Source organism: Homo sapiens, chromosome 18, assembly GCF_000001405.40.
Source record: "Homo sapiens chromosome 18, GRCh38.p14 Primary Assembly".
In the NCBI taxonomy this organism is placed as follows: Eukaryota; Metazoa; Chordata; class Mammalia; order Primates; family Hominidae; genus Homo; species Homo sapiens.
The window spans coordinates 54,121,818-54,149,258 of NC_000018.10; the positions used below are offsets into that span (position 1 = coordinate 54,121,818).

At 40.7% G+C, this 27,441-nt stretch overlaps 4 annotated features.

Annotated features, from left to right (window-relative positions):
• Window positions 1,878-2,642: an enhancer, noted in NCBI's record as "OCT4-NANOG hESC enhancer chr18:51650065-51650829 (GRCh37/hg19 assembly coordinates)". NCBI's record gives its function as "activates a minimal SCP1, AML or CMV promoter by ChIP-STARR-seq in primed H9 embryonic stem cells {active_cell/tissue: H9 hESC(primed)}" and the evidence as "EXISTENCE:reporter gene assay evidence [ECO:0000049][PMID:30033119]".
• Window positions 3,702-3,996: an enhancer, noted in NCBI's record as "tiled region #14779; K562 Activating non-DNase unmatched - State 24:Quies". NCBI's record gives its function as "activates a minimal TATA promoter and a strong SV40 promoter by Sharpr-MPRA in K562 cells {active_cell/tissue: K562}" and the evidence as "EXISTENCE:reporter gene assay evidence [ECO:0000049][PMID:27701403]".
• Window positions 5,759-6,316: an enhancer, noted in NCBI's record as "NANOG hESC enhancer chr18:51653946-51654503 (GRCh37/hg19 assembly coordinates)". NCBI's record gives its function as "activates a minimal SCP1, AML or CMV promoter by ChIP-STARR-seq in naive H9 embryonic stem cells {active_cell/tissue: H9 hESC(naive)}" and the evidence as "EXISTENCE:reporter gene assay evidence [ECO:0000049][PMID:30033119]".
• Window positions 5,839-5,898: an enhancer, noted in NCBI's record as "active region_13339". NCBI's record gives its function as "activates an Ori minimal core promoter by ATAC-STARR-seq in GM12878 lymphoblastoid cells {active_cell/tissue: GM12878}" and the evidence as "EXISTENCE:reporter gene assay evidence [ECO:0000049][PMID:35858748]".

A 27,441-nucleotide genomic window follows, 5' to 3' on the forward strand; every position in this document is an offset into this window, starting at 1 on the left:
CTTGCTGGCATGCACCTGTAGTCCCAGCTGCTTGGGAGGTTGAGGTGAGAGGATTGCTGAAGGCAAGGAGGTAGAGGCTGCAGTGAGCCATGATTGCAGCACTGCACCTCATCCTGGGCAAGAGAGACCCTGTCTCAAAAAATAAATAGAAGATAAATAAATAAATATACACGCACACACACACGCATAATTTCTTTGGTTTTGAGCAAATCACTACAGTCAAAACTGTCATTGGTCCCTGTATTAGTCTGTTGTCACACTGCTAATAAAGACATACTTGAGACTGGGTAATTTATAGAGAAGAAGAGGTTTGATGGACTCACAGTTCCATGTGGCTGAGGAGGTCTCACAATCATGGTGAAAGGTGAAGAAGGAGCAAAGGCACGTCTTACTCTTACATGGCAGCAAGCAAGAGAGTATGTGCAGGGGAACTGCCCTTTATAAAACCATCAGATCTCATGAGACTTATTCACTGTCATGAGAACAGGATGAGGGAAACCACCGCCGCGATTCAATTATCTCCACCTGGTCCCTCCCATGACACACGGGAATTATGGGAACTACAATTCAAGATGAGATTTGGGTGGGGACCAAAAGCCTAACCATATCAGTCCCTCATTGCCTTGAATAAAAAATCCAAATGTTCCAGTTTGACAAATTTCTCTCCAGCTCCCACTTGGCATTCAGCTACCCTCCTAACTTCTACAGTCCCTCTTCTACCCGCCTCATCACCACCTTCTATGAATTCTCTGCTCCAAATAAATGGGCCTGCTCTCTGTTATTCATACAGACCATCTTATTTCCCCCAGTGAATTTATGTCACTCACTTTTCCATACTTTAACATTTTCTCCCACCTCCTCTCACTAAAAAAATCTTCCTCTTTCTGGCCGGGTGCGGTGGCTCTCACCTGTAATCCTAGCACTTTCAGAGGCTGAGGCAGGCAGATCACCTGAGGTCAGGAGTTCGAGACCAGCTCGACCAACACGGAGAAACCCCGTCTCTACTAAAAACACAAAATTAGCCGGGCATGGTGGCACATGCCTGTAATCCCAGCTACTCGGAAGGCTGAGACAGGAGAATCACTTGAACCAGGGAGTTGGAGGTTGCGGTGAGCCAAGATCGTGCCGAGCCGAGATTGTGCCATTGCACTCCAGCCTGGGCAACAAGAGCAAAACTCCATCTCAAAAAAAAAAGAAAGAAAGAAAGAAAGAAAGAAAAAGAAAGAAACTCTTCCTCTTTCTTCAAGGCCTAGGTCAAGGCATCCCTCTTCAGAGATTCTGTGAACTACCAGTCTTGTAGTGATTGCCTTTTCCTCTGAACCTAGAACATTTATGGTTCACATTACACATCTGATAGTCTTCCTTACTGGGACCAGTTGTCCCCAGTTTGTGTGGAACAATCCTGGTTTGCACCTGTATTGCTGGTGAAGTACTTAATAGCATTTACAAATGCTCAAAAATGTCCCAGTCTGGATGATAAAATGCAACCATCCACCTTATCAAACCTATCTTTGCAAAAATCTAATCTCCCTGGCTGAGCTTCAAAGGACTCAATGATGGAACTGTGTCCCATTCCTCTGTACCCCATCTGCTCACACTACTCTGTGCTTTGCCCAAAGGAACGGCTCAAACAGTGCTTGAAAATCAAGTCTTATTATCCTTGACAGTGGAGAATGCTTATTTTGCTAATAAACAGATAATTCCATGGGTAATTACCTACCCCATCATCCTCCCCTACACATACACAGAGAGAGAGAGAGAGAGAGAGACCCACCAGAGTACAAAGAGTCTAAACTTCCACAGACACCATATTATTCTCTTTCTCATCCCAGCTGAGGGTGGGGAAGGGGTTCCTTTGTGCCTTGCGCAGCACAGAACTACACTTTTAGATTTTAAATGTCCTTACTAGGGATTGGCCTGAAGCAAAATTCTAACATTTTGCCATCAGTAACACTCATTTTCTCTTTTAGCACATCCACTGCCTCCTTCATTCACAAAACAATGAAAGAATATCTGCCTTGTGCTAGACATGAAGCAAGATCCCATGGACTCAAAAACTCAGCAGCAGTCTTTCCCTCTAGGAGCTTAGAATCTGTTGTCAGACAAACAATCAGGACTCTACAGGATACACTCTAGGAGCTTAGAATCTGTCGTCAGACAAACAATCAGGACTCTACAGGATACACTCTAGGAGCTTAGAATCTGTCGTCAGACAAACAATCAGGACTCTACAGGATACACTCTGGGAGCTTAGAATCTGTCGTCAGACAAACAATCAGGACTCTACAGGATACACTCTGGGAGCTTAGAATCTGTCGTCAGACAAACAATCAGGACTCTACAGGATACACTCTAGGATCTTAGAATCTGTCATCAGACAAACAATCAGGACTCTACAGGATACACACTATTGAGAAATACATCCTGTGCTGGGGGAGCATAGTGGAGAAAGCACCTAATTCTTATTGGTCTGCTTGGATGAGTTGAGGAAGATTTCCCAGAAATGACATTAGAGCTCAGTGACCAAATAGAGAATTAGTAGGAAAAGGCACACCAAACAGAATTGCAAGGAAATTGTCCTGAAAAATGTCAATTAAGTGTGTAAGAAACATGCCAGGCATAGGGGCTGGATCTGGGGAAAGGAATGGGCAGAAAACATGGTTGAACAGGGAGCGTGGAGCCAGATAGAGCCTTGCTAAGAGGTTTAGGATTTATGTTATAAGCAAAGACACACACACACACACACACACACACACACACACACACACACACACACACAGAGAGAGAGAGAGAGAGAGAGAGAGAAGATTTGTTAATTTGGGAAGTGGTATGACTAGATTTATGCTTTAGATAGCTCTCCCATGGAGAAAGCTCCAAAACTCATACACAAAAGTTTAAGGACAGCTTTCCTCAAATGAGAGGTGGCATGGAGAAGCTGTGTTTGCAGAGAAACTACATCATTATACTTACAATGTATGTTTACATAGGATGGCTGGATGGGAAGGGTGGTTTAATAGAGATTGTGAAAAGGCATCTGGGTTCATTGGCTCAGGCCTGTAATCCCAACACTTTGGGAAGCCAAGGCAGGCAGGCCACTTGATGTCAGGAGTTTGCGACTAGCCTGGCCAACATGGTGAAACTCCATCTCTACTAAAAATACAAAAATTAGCGAGGTGTGGTGGCACATGCTTATAATCCCAGCTACTTGGGAGACTGAGACAGGAGAATCTCTTGAACCTGGGAGGTGGACGTTGCAGTGAGCAGAGATTGGGCCACTAAACTCTAGCCTGGGTGACAAAGTGAGACTCTGTCTCAAGAAAAAAAAAAAAAAAGCTAGAGCCCTCTCCACCAAATAATTACCTATTTTACTCATTTGGCACTTCATATATGCCCTTTGTTATGGTTGGATTTTGAGGGAAAGGAAGCAGCCATGATGGATCAGGAATGTGAGGAATTGAAAGAGAGGAAGAGAAGCACCTGGCTTGGGCCACTGGATAGATAATGATGCCATTAATAAAGGTGGAGAATATAGGCCACTGAGATTTGGGGGTGTATGATGAGCTTCGTTTTGGACATGCTAAATTGGAAATGTTTGTAGGAGTTCCAGATGGAGTAATTCAATTGGTTATAGAACTATGTTAGAAGAAAAACTTAAGACAAATTAAATTTAACAGAGTTTAATTGAACAAAGAACAATTTGTGAATCAGGCAGCCACACACACCAGAATAGGTTCAGAGTGACTCTGGGCCTGCCATATGGCAGGATAAGATTTATGAACAGAAAAAGGGAGTGAGGTCCAGAAAACGGAAGTGAGGTGCAGAAACAGCTGGAATGATTATGGCTCAGCATTTCCGTTATTTGAACACTTGAATAGTCAGCCTCCTGTAATTGGCAGATGCGCTATGATTGGCACAAGAGTAGATTACAGTCTGTTTACACATCCAGTTGGGTTACAGTTCACTATATAGGAAGAAACCTTTAGGCTGAACTTAAAATATGTAAGGAGGTGACTTTGACTTAACAATTGTCAGTGTTAGATCAGGGGAAAGATTTGTTCTCAAGCTAGAGATTGGCATGTTTTTTGCACCTGAGTACTAATTGAAATGGCAAGAAGAGATGATGTCATCCATGGAAAGGATGGATATCAAAATGAAATGGAATCAAGGATTGTAGGAGAAGCACAATTAAGGGAGGCTGGAAAGGAGGTTTCATTTACCATGTTGACATTGATCAATTGGTAGTGTCTGCAGGGAGTCCCCAAGGAGGACTCTAGGGCCACATTCAGGATGCCAGGATGGATTCACAGAGTTGTTAGTCGGCAGGAGAGGTGGAAGTGGTGGCACCTCAGATTTAGGAGGCTGACAGAGGAAAAAGGATGCAGCAAGAGGTGACAGTGCAAAAGAATGACAAGAAAACACATCAGAAAGACATGTTTAATGGAGGCAGGTGCATCAGGAGATGATACAGAATTACAGGCTGAAGCAGGGAGGCTGGAAATTAGACATTTGCGATTTCATGGAGAGCTGTCTCATTGATTTCGAGGGGGCAGAACTGAGGAGAGTTGAAGAGCAAAGGGGAGGAGTTTAAATGACCTTAGTGAGGGAAGTCAATGCCCTCAAGAAACTCCCAGTGTCTTACCCACACTGTGAAGCGGCCCAGTTCTACCTAAAGGAGACTTGCCCTTCCAAGACAGTATCTTTGGTTTTAAAACTGGCTTTGTTTGCACCTGGCCTAGCTACATCAGGACTCAGAGCCACCTGATCGCCACTGAGTGGACGATGCTCCCCAGCTGCCCTGGAGAGTTCGCTGGGGTCAATGGGAGAAGCTACATGGTGTCTGGGATCCTCATTGCCAGACTCTCTTTGTCTGGGAATGCAAGAGTTCCAGTGAGAGTCCTAATCAATTTTCCTCTGAGTAATTGCACTCCAGCCTGGGCGACATAGTCTCCAATGTCTGCCCAGGAATCTCAGCAAAATTCTTCATCCCAGCCTACCACTTTGGTATGTCCTGTGTTTTTTGGGGTTTTGTTTTTGTTTTTGTTTTGAGACAGAGTCTCACTCTGTCACCCAGGCTGGAGTGCAGTGGTGTGGTCCTAGCTCACTGCAGCCTCTGCCTCCCAGACTCAAGCAATCTCCCGCCTCAGCCTCCTGAGTAGCTGGGACCACAGGCAACCACCACCACACCCAGCAAATTTTTAGTTATTTGTAGAGACGGAGTCTCACTATGTTGCCCATGTCCTGTGGGGTTTTTTTTTATCATCTCTCCCACAAAACCCCACACTACCCACAACATGCCCTAAACTTAACTATTCTTTGATAATATAACGAAAGAAGTTAGGAAGTTTCCAATTTAAAAGACAGGCTGGGTATGGTAGCTAACACCCGTAATCCCAGCACTTTGGGAGGCCGAGGCAGGCAGATCATCTGAGGTCGGGAGGTTGAGACCAGCCTGGCCAACATGGTGAAACCCTGTCTCTACTAAAAACACAAAAATTAGCCAGGCGTGGTGGCACATGCCTGTAATCCCAACTACTCAGGAAGCTGAGGCAGGAGAATCACTTGAACTCAGGAGGTGGAGGTTGCAGTGAGCAGAGACTGCGCCATTGCACTCCAGCCTGGGTGACAGACTGAGACTCTGTCTTAAAAAAAAAAAAAAAAAAAAGGCAAAGGCCAAAGGGACATATACATACCAAAGGAAAAGGAAACACAGACACACACACACACACACACACACACACACACACACACACACACACGCACAAAACAAACCAAGGCTGTTTCACTAAAAGAAATGAAGTTGGGGGCAGCTAAAGGGAAGTAAAAGAACAGCAGGCCCTGCCCACCCTGGCAAGAACCCATGAAAGGACAGTGGGAGGGGAGAACCTTCTAGGTTCAAACAGAAAATGTGAAAAGCATCATTTTTTAAAATAGGATTCCCAATCCTAAATTTCAAATTAGAGCTGCCTTTGATTGCAAATGTTTAAACTTATATTAAAGGAAAATGACCATCAAGGGGATTGTTTCTGGAGTCAGGCTCAGCATGAAGTAATGGGACTGTTACCTCATTAGAATGAAATAGGAACAAAGCTATGCTTGAAACCTTAAAGACCCGGCTCCAGGGCCTGAGCTTTGGCCATTTTTTACGCTGCACTGACCCCTAGAGGTTCTTCCTTTTCATTCACAATGTGCTATACACTTGGCCCAGGGGAAAAAAATAAAATAAGAGAAAATGTTGCTTTTCTTTCTTACAATCAAAAGCGGTATGAAAAGCAGGAAAAAGAAGGAAAGCGTGATCTCACTGCCAAGTGCTATCAATTAAAACCGCCTTAATAAGAGGAGCAAATCTCGTCAGTGAATTTCTCGTGCCACGAGCACCAGCAGTTAAGCTTGCTGCAATATTAGTAAAACAGATTGGGAACAAGCACTTGCATTTTAAATGTGCATCTTTGATTCCCTGCCCCATGTGGCAGCTGAGACCCTAGACCAGCTGCCAACCCCATCCAGTCCCTTCCCAATACAAGGACGGTGGGAAATTGTGGCCCTGTCTGAAGACCCAGTTGCTTGGATTGCCTTATCACTGCCACGTTGCTTAATATCTCACCCAGAGGAGAAGGTTGAGTCCCCAGAGTGTCCACATGCACATTAGGTTGAAACACACCTCTGCTGGGGGAAGCAAGCTGCATCACTGTTATAGGGTAGGGGGAAAAAGAGCGTGGCATGTCAAGTCCTCACAAGAATCTTAATGACACTCTTATGGCAATAGAAAATTTGATTTTTAACCCACAGGCCATCCAGAGATCTGTCCTCTTATGGAGAAGAAAGGCAGGAAGTCAGAAATATTGAGGGAGCTGGAATTTCCAGTCTGCAAGTGTGACTTGGGGGCAATTTTAAGAGTGCGTGTCCCTCAAATTAAGGAATTAATCCCTCTTCAGGGCAGACAGTCCAGAGGAATAAGAGATCCAAGAGGGGCTGGGACATGTGCTCTAAAATTCAAATAATCCACAACTGTGCATCCATCATTATAGTTATATAGATTATATGACATAGTTATATATAATCTACATCATCCATAGTCTCACTAAAAGGGAAGAAGGAAAAATGTAAGGCCCTTTGGAAACAACAGTTTGAAAACAATAGCTTGGTTACTCTCTAAACATCACGTACAGATTTTCTCACATGTGAATCTGCCCAGTTCTACCTAAAGGAGCCTTGCCCTTCCAAGACAGCATCTCTGGTTTTAAAGTGGCTTCATTTGCAACCAGCCCAGGATCAGGACTCAGGGCCACCTGATCGCCACTGAGTGGATGATGCTCCCCAACTGCCCTGGAGAGTTCACTGGGGTCAGTGGGAGAAGCTGCATGGTGTCTGGGATCCTCATTGCCAGACTGTCTTTGTCTGAGCGTGCAAGAGTTCCTGTGAGAGTCCTAATCGATTTCTCTCTGGGTAATAATGGTCTTACCTGCACGACAGCTACCCGAAAGCTCCTTTCCTCAGCGGTGGCGATCGTTACCACCTCAAACAAAGCTGGCCTCTCCAGAGCATGCACCTGGGAAGAGGCTGAATGTATTGAAAACTGGTGAGCCTGAAAGAGGTAATCTTAGGTAAATCTCTTTATCTCTACGAACTGTGGAGGAAGCATTTTTAAACCTGTATATATATGGGTGAATCTTATTCTTATAAAAAATGAATATGAGAAAAGAACTTTTATCTGAGGAATGCAAGTCTTTTTAACTGATCAGGCCTACAGAGACACAACAATGAGACAGCAATCACACACGACTCCCCACTTTGATCTATGTATTCATCTCTTGAAACTGCTTGCTAGTGCCACAAATAGCCATAGATTCACCTCAGAATGCTGCACCGGACACGATTACCCACATCCTGTAGCTTAACAATGTATAGCCAATCACTAATCAGTGTCATTTCTATAAACCCATGAGAATTCCTGGATTTATACAAAGCAATTTTGTATCAGCCCACTCCCTTTCCCTCTTTTTTGCCTTTAAGAATGTGCTTGTAATAAAGGCCAAAAGAAGCTCATATCCAAGATTACTAGGGGGTTGAGTCTTCCAGGCAGCTGTCTTCACTTTGACTCAATTAAACTCTTTACGTTGTCTGTTGTGTCTCAGCCTCTTCCTTTTAGGTCTACAAAACTTACAAGAGGAGGGAGTTATTTCTAGTCTAGACATTTGATTTGACACCAAAAATAAAAACATGGAAAGTAATTAAACCACTTATGTCCTGTGGTTTAACCACTTGCCTTTTTCATGAAATTACACTTGTGACTTAGACACTGGCCCAAGCATTATGCATCTGGAATTTCAGGCTGTCTTTACTACTGATCATCTAGTAATTGATTGGGCAGTGATCTGATTTAATAGGTGAGCTAGCTGAAATAATTGGATTGACAATTTCCATAGATGAGGTGTTCACTCACCACACCATCTTTCACCCATTAGGATGTTATGCATTTACTCCAATGGATTCAGAGAATCATAATTATTCACAAAATTTTCCAATTTCCCACTGCAGTTGTCACTCAGAAAGTATGCCAAGAAGCTCAGCAGAAAAAATGCCTAAATATGTAAGCCCTTATTAAATGATTCACCTCACTGTTGCCAACCTTCAGTCTAGGAGCTCCCATTTTCATCTACTTAAGGAACCTTGACACAGTCCTAAGGCATATAGGACTAAGAATGCCTTAAAAATGTATCCCATTTCCTTACACATATATTGAGTTCCCAGAAAGTATCAGAACAAACACCAGTTGCAAAATTACAAGGCTTCATGGTTACAGCTATAATTCTGGAAAACTGGGAGCATACTCACATTTCCCAATTACAGAAAGATGTCACTAATATTTACTTTCCCTGTCAGTTGTGTTTTGTTAATTAAGCATCTTTTGCCTGAGGGAATGAGGAACTTCTTGTTCTCCCTGGGTTTGGAAGGTAAAAGTAAGTAGAGATTAGGCAGCCACTGGAATCACAAAAGCAAGTGCTGCCTGGCTAACTCCAGTCCCCACCCCAGCCTGAGGCAAATGATAGAATGTTCTATTTAAAGAAGCCCATTGACAATACTATTGTTCTTTCAAAGCCTAGGAGAAAGTAAAAATTGTATTGAGAGTGTCTTTTTTTCCCTGCCTTCAAACTGTTGGGTATACATAAAGTGATTGAGAAAAGAAAAATAACTAAGGGAAGTCTGAGCTATGTGAGCTATGCAAAATGCATCAGCCCCAGAAAGGCAAAAGTATGGGACTTCAGTCATTTATCAGGCCCAGAAAGATATGAGTATGGGACTTCCACTCCTACCAACCCCTGCCTGGGGACAATTGTTTAAAGGCATTTTGTTCCTGACTTGCTGTTTCACTCGTAGTCTTTATGTTTCTGGAATTTGTGACACAAAGAACAATGTATAGCCAATCATATCTTATTATTTTAATGTAGATTTTTGGTTAACAATTTAGGAACTCTCTCTTTTCCTTTAAAAACCTACTTGTGGCTGGGCGCAGTGGCTGACACCCGTAATCCCAGCACTTTGGGAGGCCAAGGCGGGCGGATCACCTGAGGTCAGGAGCTCGAGATCAGCCTGACCAACACAGAGAAACCCCATCTCTACTAAAAATACAAAATTAGCCAGGTGTGATGGTACATGCCTGTAATCCCAGCTACTTGGGAGGCCGAGGCAGGAGAATCGCTTGAACCCGGGAGGCCAAGGTTGCAGTGAGCTGAGATCACGCCATTGCACTCCAGCCTAGGCAAGAAGAGTGAAACTCTGTCTCAAAAAAAAAAAAAAAAAAAAAAACCTGCTTGTAGCACCTGCTAATAGGAGTACATATTCAGGGCAACTTGAATCTATGCTTGCAATCCTCAAGCATGACCCAAATAAACTCTCTACTTTTATTAATTTTGCTTCTTCTTCTTCCTTTTAGGTCAACATACTATGACATTCTAGAAAGCTTGATAAAGTTTTAAAGATTGTTATTTGTATTATTAAAGCGATTTCTGATTATTATAGAGTTTACATGCAATTATCATTGTCCATATATCCCAGGCAAATATAAGAGTTTAATTTAGGAGGTTTGGATGTTGCTTGAATGCATGATTGTAGAAACACAAAATTATTGACTAAGTGGAGGTAGAGAGCTCTAATACTAGCAGTTACCAAAGTGAGATGCATACACAGCAAGGGCTTTCACAGAACTTTCAAGTTCCTTCTCATTGTAAGTTTTGGGTAAAAAAATGTAAGTTATGCCAATAGTTATTGATATAGTTTGGATATTTTTCCCCACCCAAATCTCATGTTGAAATGTAATCCCCAGTGTTGGAGGTGGGGCCTGGTGTGAGATGATTGGATCATGGAGGAAGATATCTCATGAATGGTTTAGCACCATCCTCTTGATGCTGTTCTCAGGATAGTGAATGAGTTCTTGCAAGATCTAGTCATTTAAAAGTGTGTGACACCTCCCCACTCTCTTGCTCCTGCTCTGGCCACATGACCTGCCTACTCCCCCTTCACCTTCCACCACGATTATAAGTTTCCAAAGGCCTCCCCAGAAGCCAAGCAGATGCCAACACCATGCTTCCTGTGCAGCCTGCAGACCTGTGAGCCAATTAAACCTATTTTCTTTATAAATTACCCAATCTCAGGTATTTCTTTATATTAATAGCAATGCAAGAACAGACTAACACAGTAATGAAGATCATTGATTCTGTGGGTGCAAATAACATGGCTTGGAATTCTCATGTGTATTATGATGAGAAAGGACAAGTAGTCCAAGGTCGTGGTTAACGCTCTTAACCCAGGCACCTAGTTTTGAATCCTGGCTCTGCCATTTGCTAATTCTGTGACCTGAGTTTCTTAACCTTTGTGTACCTCAGTTCCCCATCTGTAAATATTACCTTCCTCAAGTGTCCCTATGAGGATTAAATGAGATCCTATTTGGGAAGCACTTAAAACAGAGTCTGGCACATTGTCAGGGTTATACAATGCTATATATGTGTTTGTTGAATACAATAACAAAACATGGAGTGTTTGTTATTAATTGGAAAGATGTTGCGAGATAAACAAGACAAAATCCCTTTACATCAGTCGTTAGATCATTTTTTTTTGCATGACAAACATTTTAAGAGTCTGATAGAAAAATGTTCATATTGTATAACATAATAAATTTTGGCATATGATTTCAGCATGTTTATGGACTCCTACCCCAAGTAGCCCATGGGCTGTAGATAAGAAGCCTTGCATTAAACTAAAATCATGTTTATAGTGAAAATATGCTGGCACAATGAACATTCACATACATTTAACAAATATAAACGGCCAGGCATGGTGGCTCAAGCCTGTAATCTCAGCACTTTGGGAGGCCGAGGCGGGCAGATCACGAGGTCAGGAGATCAAGACCATCCTGGCTAACACAGTGAAACCCCGTCTCTACTAAAAATACAAAAAAAAAAAAAAAAATTAGCCGGGCATGGTGGCGGGTGCCTGTAGTCCCAGCTACTTGGGAGGCTGAGGCAGGAGAATGGCGTGAACCCGGGAGGCGGAGCTTGCAGTGAGCCGAGATCGCACCACTGCACTCCAGCCTGGGGGAAAGAGCAAGACTCCGTCTAAAAAAAAAAAAAAAAAAAAAAAAATATATATATATATATATATATAAACATCTGAGATGTTGTATGAGGTATTTAGGGTGTTAAGTGCAGAGCTGTGTTCCCACACCCCCAACCCCTGCCAAATTCATATGTTGAATTTCTAACCCCCAGTAGCTTAGAATGTGACCATATTTGGACCAAACTTAATCCTTTAAAGAGGTGATTAAGTTCAAATGAGGCCATTAGGTTGGGCCCTAACCTAATGTAACTGGTGTCCTTATAAGAAGCAGAAATTTGGATATAGACAGGCACAGAGTGAAAACTCAGGGAAGAGAAGATGGTCGCCCACCAGCCAAGGAGAGAGACCTCAGAAGAAACCAATCCTGCTGACATCTTTATCTTGAACTTCTAGCCTCCAAAACTATAGGAAAGTACATTTCTGTTGCTTAAAACAACTCCGTCTGTCATACTTTCTTATGGAAGCCCTAGCAAACCAATAGCCAGGGTAATAGAAAGAGTGGGAGCAATGAAGTACCCTACACCAGAAAGTGGAAAGGTGGCAAAAAAGAGGAAGAACATTGATTCCTTTATACTTTGATGTGTTGATATTGAAAAGAGAAGAAGAAAAACAGTGAATTCTATTGGAATTGCTATTATGAATTTTATTGGGACCTTGTTTTGAAATACTACTACATGCTTTGAAATTCCTAAAATATTATAATATGATACTATGTAAGATACAATTTATTACTCCCAATGAGTCAGCAATAAATACAAAGCTTTTCATATCCCACATAAATTCAATTACATGGTAAGAGGAAAAGAATTCATAGGCAAGTACTCACAAGCATGAAAGATGTAGATGTAGGTATTTATGTTTGGGGGAAAACTGTGGCTGTCCCTTGTTAAAAACACTCACTGGGTTTGGCCAGAAGGCAAAGATTGCATCTCCCTGTATAGTACCTAGACTATCAGCATACATAATTGAGGGTAATGGTAGGGCTCTATTTCAGGTAGATGGGATGTGAATGTTAACACCAAATGTAGGTTCAAGGGAAATAATTGCTCAATTCTGTCAGCCAACCTTGATTGCTTTTCCTCTCCTGAAGCAGATTCTGAAATGAAGCTATGTACACTGTGGTGCTAATGAGAGAAAAGAAAGAAGAGGAGAGGAGGATGGGTGGGGTGGCTCGTGCCTGTAATCCCAGCACTTTTGGAGGCCAAGATAGGAGGGTCGCTTGAGGCCGAGAATTTGAGATCAGCGTGGGCAACATAGCAAGACTCTTTCTCTATAAACAAACAAACAAAAAAATTAGCTAAGGGATGGTGGTATATATAAGCCTGTAGTCCCAGCTACTCAGGAGGCTAAGGCAGAAGGATTCCTTCAGCTGAGAATTCAAGGTTGCAGTGAGCTATGATCCGGCCACTGCACTCCAGCCTGGGAGACAGAGTCAGACTGTTTCAAAAAGAAAGAAAGAAAGAAAGAAAGAAAGAAAGAAAGAAAGAAAGAAAGAAAGAAAGAAAGAAAGAAAGAAAGAAAGAAAGAAAGAAAGAAAGAAAGAAAGAGAAAGAAGGAAGGAAGGAAGGAAGGAAGGAAGGAAGGAAGGAAGGAAGGAAGGAAGGAAGGAAGGAAGGAAGGGAAAGAAAGAAAGAAAAGAAAGAAAGAAAGAAAGAAAGAAAGAAAGAAAGAAAGAAAGAAAGAAAGAAAGAAAGAAAGAAAAAGGAAAGAAGAGGAAAGAAATGGTTCCCCATCCTAGAAATGGTTCTCTTTGATGTAGCCTGGGCAATTATTACATACCGGCTCTGTAAAGAAATCACGACAAAATGTCTGAGTATGGTAAACTTGAATAGGACCTCAGAAGAGTTATTTTAGAAATTTAGCAGTAACTTTTTAACGCCTGCTTCACGGAACACATTTCATTTTAAGTATTTCACTGACATTGATGAATGAGCTTGCAATGCTCATCTTAAATTTTCTTGAATACAAACAATTCAGAAACTGGTTTGCACATATTTTTTATATTATTTTTAGAAAGAATGTAGCATTCAGGAAAGACATTAAATTGATGACTTATTCCCAAGAGGACAGAAAGTTTCCCATTTACCCTGCCTGGTTCATTAACTCTGCTTGGCCCATCTGAACCTGAGCTATCTGGACAGCTAGGAAAAAAATGAAGGTAATGAGGCTGCCTCCCCAACCAAAGGCTAGAAAAAGTGAAGCATTAAAGAAACACAGCAAAGATGCAAAATGCTAAAGAAGCAATATTTTCTAACATATCTAAATGTGGCTGCTTTCACCATGGGACTAGCAAAGATGCAAAATGCTAAAGAAGCAATATTTTCTAACATCTAAATGTGGCTTCTCTCACCATGAGACTATTCCTTTATTTTCTTTCAATCTTTGACGCAAGGTTTTGTTTTTGCTTTTTTTTAATCATCATTTTTCCTTATCATTTCCTGTATATATGAGTATGGTCCCATCTATACATTTTAAAATAGGGAATAAGGAATATATATGTATGTATTTCTATCATAAGCCACATTTTCTCACCTTTCTCATTCTTTCCTCATTCCCAGTTCCCCTACTGCTCTCAAACTCTCCATTCACCACTTAATAGAGGTTATTTTACTTCTCTCAATTCTGGAGATTTTACAATAATTGTTGCCAAAAAGGTTGTTCTCTCCCTTTAACACAATCTGTCTTGCTCTAGGATCGTGGTGGTTCCCCAGTGCCATTATTTCTGCAAATATACTAACCTGACCCACACAGACAGAATTGAGAGGTGAAGATGGTGTCCTGTGTGGACCCTGGCACCACACTGCTGGGGTTCAAGCTCTGTCTGCGGCCCACCAGCTGAGTGGCCCTGCTGAAGGTCCTCTAGGACTCAGTTCTCTCATCTGCAAAATTAGGATAGTAATCTCTCTCTTGTAGGGTTACTGTGAGTTTAAATTGAGATCATGTATATCTGGTGTTATTGTTATTACAGTTGACCCTTGAACAACATGGGTTTGAACAGTGCTGGTCCACTTACATGCAGGTTTTCTTCTGCCTCTACCACCCTTGAGATGGCAAGAGCAACCCTTCCTTTTCCCCCTCCTCCTCAGCTTACCCAATGTGAAAACAATGAGGAAGAAGGACTTTATAATGATGCACTTCCACTTATTGAATAGTAAATGTTTTCTCTTCTTTATGATTTTAATAACATTTTCTTTTCTCTAGCTTACTTTATCACAAGAATGCAGCATATAATACATTTAACATACATCATATGCATTAATTGACTGTTTATGTTATTGACAAGGGTTCCAGTCAACAGCAGGCTATTAGTAGTTGAGTTTTGGGGAAGCTGAAAGTTATGTGCAGATTTTTGGCTGTGCACATTATTCCAGGGCCAACTATATTTCATGAGCTAGGCTCTGGAAGTTCACCAATTCAGTAAGGACTGATTAACATTTTCTATGGAAGCAAAAATGGATTGTGGTAAGAAACAAGAAAGTAGTATTTATCCTGGATGTATCTTACCTATGTAATTTCCCAGGCAGGAAGGGCAGTCATTGCAGGACATTCTCTCCCTTTTCCAATGTGGCCCCCTAATTGATCACAAGAGTGACTCTGGGTTCTTGCCTCCTGTATCTCTCCCCCTTCTCATCTGTTTCTTCACACAGGGTTCTAAAAGTAGTTGCATCTTTTGATAGCACATCACTGAATCAAACTGAGAGTTATTTCCTGTGCTCACTAGTTCAGCCTGCCAATTTTTCATTATTTAGGATTACTACAGATGATGAAATCAGATTTCACCTTTTCTTCTTCAGGAATTAACCAAAAATTGTCCCACAACTTTCCAAGAAAACACAGAAATTAGTCTGTCATCAAGAAAGGAAAGAAATTAAAACTGAAATGTATGTAGTAAGGAAGATGCTATTATGACTTATAAGTTCCACATTTAGACTACCATAGCCAAGATCTACCTGGAAAGTCTGCCTTTTCTCAGAGCTTGAGGAGGGTCATATTACCATATTATTTTTATAATATGGTAAAATATACATAATATAGAATTAAGTAGATTCACATTGTTATACAACCATCACCACCATTCATCTCAAGAATGTTTTCATCTTCCCCAACTGAAACTTAGTACTCATTAAACATTAACTTTCTTAATATCCCTTTCCCTAAGCCCCTGGCAATCACCATTCTGTTTTCTCTGATAAACGATAAATGAGAAAGGCAACATACCCTTTTCCGGCCAGATCTGCTGAATCTATCCTGCAGATTTGTGGTATGGTAGATGTTGCAGCCAGATGTGTAGCCTCCTATCCACATTTGTTTAATAGTATGATAGCCAAAGAAATTCTGATCTCTAAGGATGAAAGTCACTAAGATAAGAAAAAGGTCACTCAAAAATACTACAGAAATGTGGAAATAAATATCAGAATTAAGTTATAGTTCCGTAAGAATATCATTAGCATTATACTATATTGTTTCCTTTTTCTCTTTAGCCCCACAAAGATTGTGATTACCAGGCAAATCACATCCCCGTATTATCTTGGGTTAGGCCAGAGGATAAAAATGATGTCCAACTCATTATCTAACATAACTATCTTATTTTTATTTTTATAATATGGTAAAATATACATAATATAGAATTCACAGTTTTAACAATTTTTAAGTGTACAGTTCAGTGGCATTAAGTACATTCACATTGTGGTACAACCATCACCAACATTCATCTCGAGAATGTTTTCATCTTCCCCAACTGAAACTTAGTATTCATTAAATATAACTTTCTTAATATCCCTTTCCCTAAGCCCCTGGCAATCACCATTCTATTTTCTCTCTCTATGAATGTAACTATTCCAGATCTCTCAAGCAAGTAGAATTATACATTATTTGTCTTATTGTGACTGGTAGATATGGTTTGGTTCTGTGTCCCCACCCAAATCTCATGTTGAATTGTAATCTCCAATGTTGGGGGAGGGACCTGGTGGAAGGTGATTGGATCACAAGGGTGGATTTCCCCCTTGCTGTTCTCATGACAGTGAGTTCTCATGAGATCTGGTTGTTTAAAAGTGTGTACCGCATCCCTGTTTGCTCACTCTGTTTCCTGCTGCCATGTGAAAATGTGCTTGCTTCCCCTTTGCCCTTCTGAGCCATGATTGTAAGCTTCCTGAGACTTCCTAGCCATGCTTTCTGTACAGCCTGCAGAACAGTGAGTCTATTAAACCTCTTTTCTTTATAAATTACCCAGTCTCAAATAGTTCTTTACAGAAGTGTGAGAATGGACTAATACAAAAAAATGGTACCAGAAAAGTAGGGTGTTGCTATAAAGATACCTGAAAATGTGGAAGCAACTTTGGAACTGGGTAATGGGCAGAGATTGGAACAGTTTGGAGGGCTTATAAGAAGACAGAAAGATAAGGGAAAGTTTGGAACTGTCTAGAGACTTGTTGAATGGTTGTGACCAAAATGCTCATAGTGATAGGGACAGTGAAGTTCAGGTTGAGGTCTCAGATGAAGATGAGAAACTTATTGAGAACTGAAGTAAAAGTCACTCTTGGTATGCTTTAGCAAAGAGACTGGTGACATTGTGCCCCTGCTATACAGATCTGTGGAACTTTGAACTTGAGAGAGATGATTTAGGATTTCTGGCAGAAGAATATTCTAAGCAGCAAAGCATTCAAGGTGTTACCTGGCTGCTTCTGATAGTCTATGCTCATATGTGTGAACAAAGAGATTATCTGGAACTGGAACTTATGTTTAAAAGGGAAGCAGAGCATAAAGTTTCAGAAAATTTGCTGCCTGACCATATGCAAGAAAAGTAAAACCCATTTTCCAGGGAGAAATTCAAGCCAGCTGGAGAAATTTGCATAAGTAAAGAGGAGCCGAATGTTAATAGCCAAGATAATGAGGAAAATGACTCCAAGGAATTTCAGAGACCTTTGTGGCAGCCCCACCTATCACAGGCCCAGAGGCCTAGGAGGGAATAGTTGTTTCATGGGCCATGCCCAGGGCCCCGCTGATCTGTGGCCTGGACATGGCACCCTGTGTCCCAGCTGCTCCAGCTCCAGCCATGGCTAAAAGAGGCCAAGGTACAGCTTGGGCTGTTGTTTCAGAGGGTGCAAGCCTCAAGCCTCAGTAGCTTCCACGTGGTGTTGGGCATGCAGGTACATAAAAGGCAAGAGTTCAGGTTTGAAAACTTCTGCCTAGATTTCAGAGTATGTATGGAAATGCCTGGATGTCCAGGCAGAAGTCTGCTGCAGGGGCAGAACCCTCATGGAGAACCTCTACTAGAGCAGTGCAGAGGGGAAATATGGTATATGAACCCCCACACAGAGTCTCCATTGGGACACTGCCTAATGGAGCTGTGAGAAGAAGGCCACTGTCCTCCATACCCTAAAATGGTAGATCCACCAACAACCTGCACCCTGTGCCTGGAAAAGCCACAGGCATTCAATGCCAGCCCATGAAAGCAGCCACAGGGGCTGTACCCTGCAGAGTCACAAAGGCAGAGCTTCCCCAGACCTTGGGAGCCCACCCATTGCATCAGTGTGCCCTGGATGTGACACATTGAGTCAAAGGAGATTATTTTAAAGCTTTAAGATTTAGTGACTCCCCTGCTGGGTTTCAGACTTGCACTGGGCCTGTAGCTCCTTTGTTTTGGCCAATTTCTCCACTTTGGAATGGGAGCATTTACCAAATGCCTGTATCCCCATTGTATCTTGGAAGTATCTAACTTGTTTCTTATTTTACAGGCTCCTAGGCAAAAGAAATTTGTCTCAAATGAGACTTTGGACCTGAACTTTTGGGTTAGTGCTGGAATGAGTTAAGACTTTGGGATATTATTGGGAAGACATGATTGTGTTTTGAAATGTGAGAAGGACATGAGATTTGGGAAGGGCCAGAGGCAGAATAATAGAATTTGGCTCTGTGTCCCCACACAAACCTCATGTTGAATTGTAATTCCCAATGTTGGGGAAGGGACCTGGCAGGAGGTAATTGGATCATAGGGGTGAATTTTCCCCTGGCTGTTCTCATGATAGTGAGTGATTTCTCATGAGATATTGTTGTTTAAAAGAGTTTACCACTTCCCTCTTCATGCTCTCTCTCTCCTGCCACCAGATGAAGATATGCTTGCTTCCTCTTTGCCCTTCCACCATAATTGTAAGTTTCCTGAGGTCTGGCATCCATGCTTCCTGTAGGGCCTGCAGAACCATGAATCAATTAAACCTCTTTTCTCTTACCAGTGTCAGGTGGTTCTTTATAGCAGTGTGAGAACAAATATGCCAGCTTTGTTCCATCTAACAGTTATTAAAGTAAGCAATAAGTGCTTTCTGGTGATATAGACTGGCCATTCATTCAAAAAATATCTGGTCTCCTCTATGCCAAGAACTGTGGGAAATAAAAGACATTGCTTAGTCACTACAATCTGGTTATGAAGATGAGACAAAGCAATAGGATTGGTTAGGAATAAGACTGCATAGAATAACAACCCCAAATGACCGTAACCAACTGCCAGAATGTGGGATACAGACAACTGATGTCATGAACAGCAGAGGTGAGAAAAGATCAAAGTTGACTGGAGTAAGGGTGAAGCAATTTATAAAGAAAGGGCCTTAAAGAATTGATTATATTTCTGTAGAACTAAAGGGGAAAGAACTGGGGACAAGAACAAGAGCAAAACCAACATTAGTGGAAAGACAAGGACAGAAGATGAGCCTAACAGGGTGTGCAGGTTACTCAGTGTGGCCCCTTGTCCCAACCCATCTTTCTCTGACTTGCCCTGTGTTCCAGAAAGCTGGGCTCTACACACATGCCTTCTGGCTTCCTGTTCGGTTCTTGGTGTGGCTGGTCTCTGAATGTTTAACAAGCATTTGATTCAAACACTGCCAACACCTATGAAAATAATCCCTTCACTGAGTTCCTTCCTTGAGTAACATTTAGTTAATCTGTTCGAGGGTGGCATCAATTTCCTGCCAGGCTTTGACTATTATGCTGGGATATGTGTTGCATCTGTAGAGTATTTTACATTTTCATGATTGCATACAGCACAATCTTGAGCATATATTGAGGTGAATGAATGCAGTTCTCTGAAGCAAAAAACACAATGGTTAAAAACAGAGCAATTGCGTCATTTGTGCCTTTGACCTACATTGAATTTGGAACTTCATTATGTACAGGATATAAGCCTTCTCTTGTATTTGATTCTCCCAACAACAAAAAAATTTCAAAATGTGTCAAGGTTATCAATCTTTGCTATTAGAACAGAATGAAGTATTATCCTTCAACAGGTGAAAGGATAACAATGGATTTTAAAAATCTATGGCAATAAAATAATAAACTCTTGATATGTGAATTATTCTCAATGTATTATGTTAAGTGAAAGAAGCCAGACCCATAAGTCTACATACTGCATAATTCCATTTATACAACATTCTGGAAAAGGCAAAACTATAGAAACAGAGAACAAATCAGTGGCTGACAACAGATCAGGGTAAAGAAGGTGTTGACTATGAAGGAGTATCACTAAGGAATTTGGGGAGGTGATAAAATAGCTCTGTGTAATTACGGCAGTGGATTCTATTCATTTGTCAACACTCAGAACTGCACATCAAAAAGGCTAAATTTTAATGTATATTTTTTTTTAAATAAACTCAAGTTTCGTTTTAAACCAGAATGGGGTGGGGCTATTGTCTCTCACTCCAGACAGAGCTCCAGTTCCTGTCTTCACTGCTCTATGTTCTCTGCTCATATATGGCCCTGTGACCTGAAGGTATTGGGAGATCCCTAAGTCAAACACCAGGATCCCTGGAAGCCAGGAAATGAAGCTGTTGACATTATGTGGCCATAGAATTCTCTCTGGAGAAGTGGAAATTCCTCGACCCTGCTCAGCAAAATTTGTATAGGGATGTGATGTTAGAGAACTATGGAAACTTGTTCTCCATTGGCCTCACTGTCTCTAAGCCAGGTTTGATCACCTGCCTAGAGCAAAGAATAGAGCCCTGGAATGTGACAAGACATGAGACAGTAGTCAAACATTCAGCTATGTCTTCTCATTTGACCCAAGATCTTTAGCCAGAGCAATGCACAAAAGATTCATTAAAAAAAAAATACCAATACTGAGAAGGTATGGAAACTGTGGTGGTCATTATAATTTACACTTAAGGAAAGACTCATGATATAGTATGGCTCTGTGTCCCCACCCAGATCTCATCTTGAATTGTAATCTGAATTGCTATCCCCAGGTGTCAAGGGAGGGACCTTGTGGGAGGTGAGTGAATCATGGGGATGGTTTCCCCCATGCTGTTCTTGCGATAGTGAGTTCTCACAAGATCTGTTGGTTGTTTAAGTGTTTGACAGTTCCTCCTTCACATGCTTTCTCACCTGCTGCCATGTAAGACGTGCCTGCTTCTCCTTCTGCCATGATTGTAGGTTTGCTGATGCCTCCTCAGCCATGCGGAACTCTGAGTCAATTAAACCTCTTTTCTTTATAAATTTCCCAGTCTTGGGCAGTTCTTTTATAGCAGTGTGAAAATAGACTAATACAACTGGGAAAGTTTATAATGACTGTACTGATTTACATCCACACCAACAGTGTGCAAGCATTCTCCTTCTCCAAATCTTTGCCAGCATTTGTTATTTTTTGCCTTTTTAATAATAGTCATTCTAAAAGGAGTGAGTTAATATCTCATAGTGGTTTTCATTTGCCTTTCCTGGATAATTATTAATGTTTCACATTTTTAATATATCTATTTGTCATATGTGTGTCTTCCTTTGAGAAATGCCTAAGCTTTTTCCTTATTTTTAATACATATTTGTTTTTGTTACATAGTTGGTTGAGATTCTTAAATATTTTAGATATTAATTCCTTGTCAGATTCATAATTTGGAAATATTTTTCCCATTCCTAGGTTATCATTCCATTGATTGTATCTAGTGCGGTGCAGAAGTTTTTCAGTTTGAAATAATCTTATTTGTCTGTGTTTACTTCTGTTTCCTGGCATTTTCAGGTTAAATTCAAAAAGTAATTGCCCAAACCAATATCATATTTTCTTTTACCTTATGTTGTCTTCCAGTAGTTTCAGATGTTATATTTAAGTGTTTGATCCATCTTGAGTTGTTTTTTATATGTGGTATGAGACGAGATGAGGGTCTCATTTCTTCGTTCTGCATGTGGATATCCATTTTTTCCCAACACCATTTACTGAAGAGACTGTACTTTAACTATTATGTGTTTTTGTCACCTTTGTCTAAAATCAGTTAGCTGTAAATGCATGGATTTATTTCTGGGCTCTCTATTCTGCTCTATTGTACTATGTGTCTGTTTTTATGCCAATACCATGCAGTTTTGCTTATTATAGCTTTGTAGTATATTTCAAAGTGAAGTACTGTGATGCCTTCAGCTTTACTTTATTTTGCTCAATTATTTGGACTATTCAGTGTTTTTTGTGGTACCATATAAATTGGGTGATTCCTTTTGTATGTGAAGAATGTCATTGTTATTTTGACACTGATTGTATTAAACCTGTAGATCATTTTAGGTAACATAAACATTTTAACAATATTAATTCTACCAATTTATTAATAAAGAACATCTTTCTTTTTGTTTGTCTTTTACTTTTTTTTTTTCCAGACAGAGTCTTGCTCTATCACCCAGGCTGGCATTCAGTGACACAACCGTGGCTCATGCAGCCTAAACCGCCTGGGCTCAAGTAATCCTCCCAACTCAGCCTTCTGAATAGCTGGGACCACAGGTGCATGCCACCATGTCTGCGTAACTTTTAAAATTTTGTAGAGATGAGGTCTCTCTATGTTTCCCAGGCGAGTCTTGAACTTCTGGGCTCAAATGATTCTCCTGCCTTGGTCTCCCAAAATGCTGAGATTACAGGAGTGAGCCACCATGCCCAATCTTTACTTAATTTCTTACCTTAATATTCTTTGGCTTTTAATGTAGAGCTCTTTCACTTTCTTGGTTAAATGTATTTCTAAATATATATTTTATAGCTATGTAGTTGTGATTGTTTCTTGATTTCTTTTTCAGAGAATATGTTCTTACTGTATAGAAATGCTACTGACTTTTGTGTTTTAATTTTGTATCCTGAAAGTTTGCAGAATTTATTAGTTCGAAGTTTTTTGGTGGAGTGTTTAGGATTTTTATTATATAAAATTACATCATCTGCAAAGAAGGACTATTTAACTGTTTCCTTTACAATCTGGATGACTTTGATTTTGTTCTCTAAAGGCTCAGATTTGGACATCCAGTACTATGTCGAACAAAAGTGATGAAAGTGGCCTTCCCTGTCTTGTTATAGCTCTTAGAGAAAAAGCCTTACTTGTTTTTGTTTAGTATGATGTTACCTGTGCATTTGTCATGCATGGTCTGTATTGGGTTGAGGTACATTTGTTCTACACTGAATATACTGAGAGTTATTATCATAAAAGAATGGTAAGTTATGTCAAATACTTTTTCTGAATCTATTTAAATGGTATACTTGGTCCTGAGGTCAGAATTTGGGGAAATGCATCCATACCTAGAGGGGTCCCTGATAGGGCATCACATTTAACATTCTGTGGACATGACCTGTGAGTGTCTGACTCCCAAAAGAGAACTGAGGCCCAGGATTGTCATCTTTGTTCACTGAATTATGCCTAGTTTTTTAAAAAGCAACTGTACAAATTAAGTGCTTAATATATGTGTTGAATAAATGAACCCCAACCAGAAACATAAAAACAAAAATAAAATGGTATGTAGCTTTTCAGGCATGCGGGAACACTTTAGAATTCTCTACCCTCCCCTCCACCCTCCATTCACTTCTGGAGATTGACAGTTACCTGAAAGCCAAAAAGAAATGATCAGACTTCTCCATAGAGCCTTAAAAATAGGTATTTCCTTAAATCGGGTTTTGGCAGTATTGATATTTTCGGGGTGTGTCCTGTGCGTTGCAGGACTTTTAGCAGCATGCCTGGCCTTTATGCACTTGATGTCAATAACTACTGCACTATTCTCCCCTCATTGTGACAACCAAAAATGGTTTACTGTTGTCATGTATTTCCTAGGCAGTCTAAGGCAAAGCTGTCTTAGACTGAGAATCACTGCTTTAGACTAATTTTAAGAACTACTTTGGCCAGGCCCAGAGGCTTATGCCTATAATCCCAACACTTGGGAGGCCAAGGCAGGAGGATGGCTTGAGCTTGGGCAACATAGTGAGACCTCATTTCTATTTAAAAAAAAAGAAATTAGCTGGGCATGGTAGCATGTGCTGGTAGTCCCAGCTACTTGGGAGGCTGAGATGGGAGGATCACTTGAGCCTGGGAAGCCAAGGCTGCAGTGAGCCAAGATCTTGCCACTACACTCTAGCCTGATTGACAGAGCAAGATCCTGTCTCAAAAGAAAAAAAAAAAGAATTACTTTATAGAATTGAATATGCCAAACTATATATGGTGTACTTTATAGGGGTTTAGAAAGTTTTCTAGGGTAATTTTGACTGGGTGGATAGAGAGAGATATTTTTCACCTTGATATATCGACTTTGGAACCTCAGGACTGCCCAGATAATGATGACTTTATTATAGAAATAATATATGTCAAGACTTTGTCTCTTGTCCTATAGCCTCACTGAGTTGGTTTATCTCTTTTATTAGAGTCATAAGATTAGAACCAAAATAGTTCTAATATGGTATAGACAAAAAATGTATTTAAAAAGGTTTAAAACATATTAGAGATAGGAAAGACCTATGGCTTTGTAATTGCTATAATAACTAAGTATTATTGCTGAATTTTAATGGAGATCATTGCCTTTGCTTTCCAGGAGGTAAAGTGTTTGCAAGATTACTCAGTCTATGCCCTTGTTGTATATTCTTGAACTATTTATTTGCTCCATATTAAGGAAAAAGAAAGCAATTATGTCTTAATTATCTTATCTAATTTGTGAAGAAGCACAACAGAGAAATTATCTTGCTTATTTTATGCGATGATTACAAGAAAGTATTCCTACATAGAAAGAATAAAGTTGAAAAACAAAGCGTTAGTGGAATGGCATTAAATGCTAATTGCTCTTAAAATATGATAATTCTAGAATAGCTAAATATTAATTTAATTATCAAGGGAACTTTTCTCAGGGCCACAGTAATAACCAAATTAGTGTTTACTACCAAAATACTTATCACAAAGTATGAAATAAAGAATCTGGCCTTGCCCAAATAAAGAACTAGCCTTTCCCCTCAGTGTCTGGGGGATATTCTAGGTCATATCTGATAAAAGGTGTCTTCTTTTTAGGGTGTGACCTGGTCAGACTGGATTTTAGGGTAGGGCCACATGTGTCAGGGTAGGATCTGACCACTCCAGAAAGATCAACCATGTGAGTTAGGGTGGGGATTTTGTGTTATGCATTCAGTTGACCTGGAGACTGAGTAAAATCGTGTGGGCAGTCAATCAATCATGTCTTAAGCACAGTCCTGGTTAAAAACTCTGAACACCAAAGCTTAGGTGAGTTTTCCTGGTTGGCAATACCCCGTATATATCACACATCAATGCTAGGAGGGTAATGTCTCCTCACTCAATGGGAGGAGGACAATGTGGGCTTTAAGTTTGGAACCCTTGCAGACTGTGTATCTCTCTGGCTAATGTTAACATGTATTCTTTCCCTACAACAAATCATAACCATGAACATAATAATTTTTAGCAAGTCCTGTGAGTCCTTCTAGCAAATTATCAAACTTGAGGGTGGTTGTGCAAGTTTAGGAGATTGCAGTGGTGTCAGAAGTGAGGGTGGTCTTGTGGAAGACTGTGTCCTCCAACTTTGATACTTAACTCATTTGGGAATGAGTTTATGAACTCATGCCCAAATCCATTCTTTTAAGAAGTCATATTCATGTCTTAGAGGAACTTATAACTTAGGTAATATGAGAAGCATTTGAGGAACAGGCAATATGTACTCATATACAAGGTGTCAGGCAGAGTCACGCTACTGAGAAGGGACAGATTGGAGGGAGGAATGCATTTGACAAGGCTTTAGGAAAGAAATGTGATGCTTTTTTTTTTTTTGGCTTAAGTAAAAGATGGGATCTGGAAAAAAAAAAGAAAAGAAAATATAGGGTCCGGACTGATTGTGAGAAAAAAAGAAGCTAATTCTACAGAGAAACCAGTAAAAATGAAAGCACAAAGGTAGGGGAAAGCACAAAAGAATAGCAGGCAGTTTGAGACAGAAGATTGAAGCAGGTGTTGTGGTTGACCCCCTAGCAGCCCCAACACTCCCATATGATGATTAATCTAAGCCATCTGGGGTAATTCCAACCCCCTTTCTCAGCAACTAGTTTAGGAATGGGCGTGTTAACCAATTCTAGCCAATGAGGTACAAGGGAAAGTGTTTGGGGCCTTCTAAAAAGCAGGCATATGGCTGGGTGTGGTGGCTAATACCTGTAATCCCAGCACTTTGGGAAGCTGAGACAGAATTGCTTGAGATCAGGAGTTCAAGACCAACCTGGTCGACATAGCGAGATCCTATCTCTATCATATATTTAAAAGAGTAAATAAATAAATAAATAATAAAAAGCAGGCACAGGAAGACATCTATCTTCTCCTTCTTGCCATTGTCATGTCTGGACACCTGGAAGCATCTTGCTACTGAGCTGAGGCTGAAGTCAATTCACGAAGGAGAGGCCATGATTAGAAGACTACACAGAAGCAAAGCTAGAGCCCTGTGGTTTGCATTAAGAATCTAAAGTAGCCTAGAATTGTCTTTTAGATACATTTAATGTACATTTCCTTATTGTTTAAGCCATCTGAGACTGATAATCTGTTACTTGTAGCTAACAGTATGTGGCAGGCAGAAGGCCCTTTTCCAAAAAATTACCCATGCTCTAATGTCTAGAAATTGTAATCATGTTAGGTTACATGGCTAAAGTGATTCTGCAGATACAATTAAGTTTGCAGATCTCAAAATGGAAAGATTATCTTGGATTATCTGGGTGAGCTTAATCTAATTAAATGAGTTTTTGAAGGAAGAGAACTTTCTCTGGCTGGAGTGAAAGACATGAGGCAGAAGGGGAAGTTGGAGCAATAAGACAAATTGACCTGATTTCTGGCTTTAAAGATTAAGGCAGCTGGCTGGGCATGGTGGCTCATGCCTGTAATCCCAGCACTTTGGGAGGCCGAGGTGGGCGGGTCACCTGAGGTCAGTAGTTCAAGACCAGCCTGGCCAACATAGTGAAACCCCATCTCTACTAAAAATATAAAAATTAGCCAGGCATGGTTGTACGCATGCCTGTAATCCCAGCTACCCAGGAGGCTGAGGCAGGAGAATCACTGGAACCCGGGAGGCAGAGGCTGCAGTGAGCCAAGATCAAGCCACTGCACTCCAGCCTCCAACCTGGATGACAGAGCGAGGCTTTCAAAAAAAAACAAAAACAAAAACAAAAACAAACAAACAAAAACGATGAAAGGAGCCATTAGCCAAGGAATGTGGGCAGCCTCTAGACATTGAGGACAAACCCCGACTAACAGTCAGCAAAAAATCAGGGACCTCAGTCCCACCCTATCACAAAGAAATTTCCCTGAGTAATTTGAATTATCTCCATTCTTTAATTCACACCCATATTTCCTCTTGCCTTTCTACTGATCTTTAATAAAATGGCAATAGAGCCTATGGAATGTCATTTTAAAAAAAGAAGAGGAAGAACAACAACAACAAAGATTGTGACCATTCCTTGAATGAATACAAAGTTCCAGTAAAGTTGAGTGTGTTTCTGACTCACTGAGTAATAATGCATTCACCCTTCCCCCAGCCCTCCACCCCCAGTGTTAAATGTTTTCAGAGTTAGGTGACTAATTCATCCTCTTCTCACAGCAGCTTCTG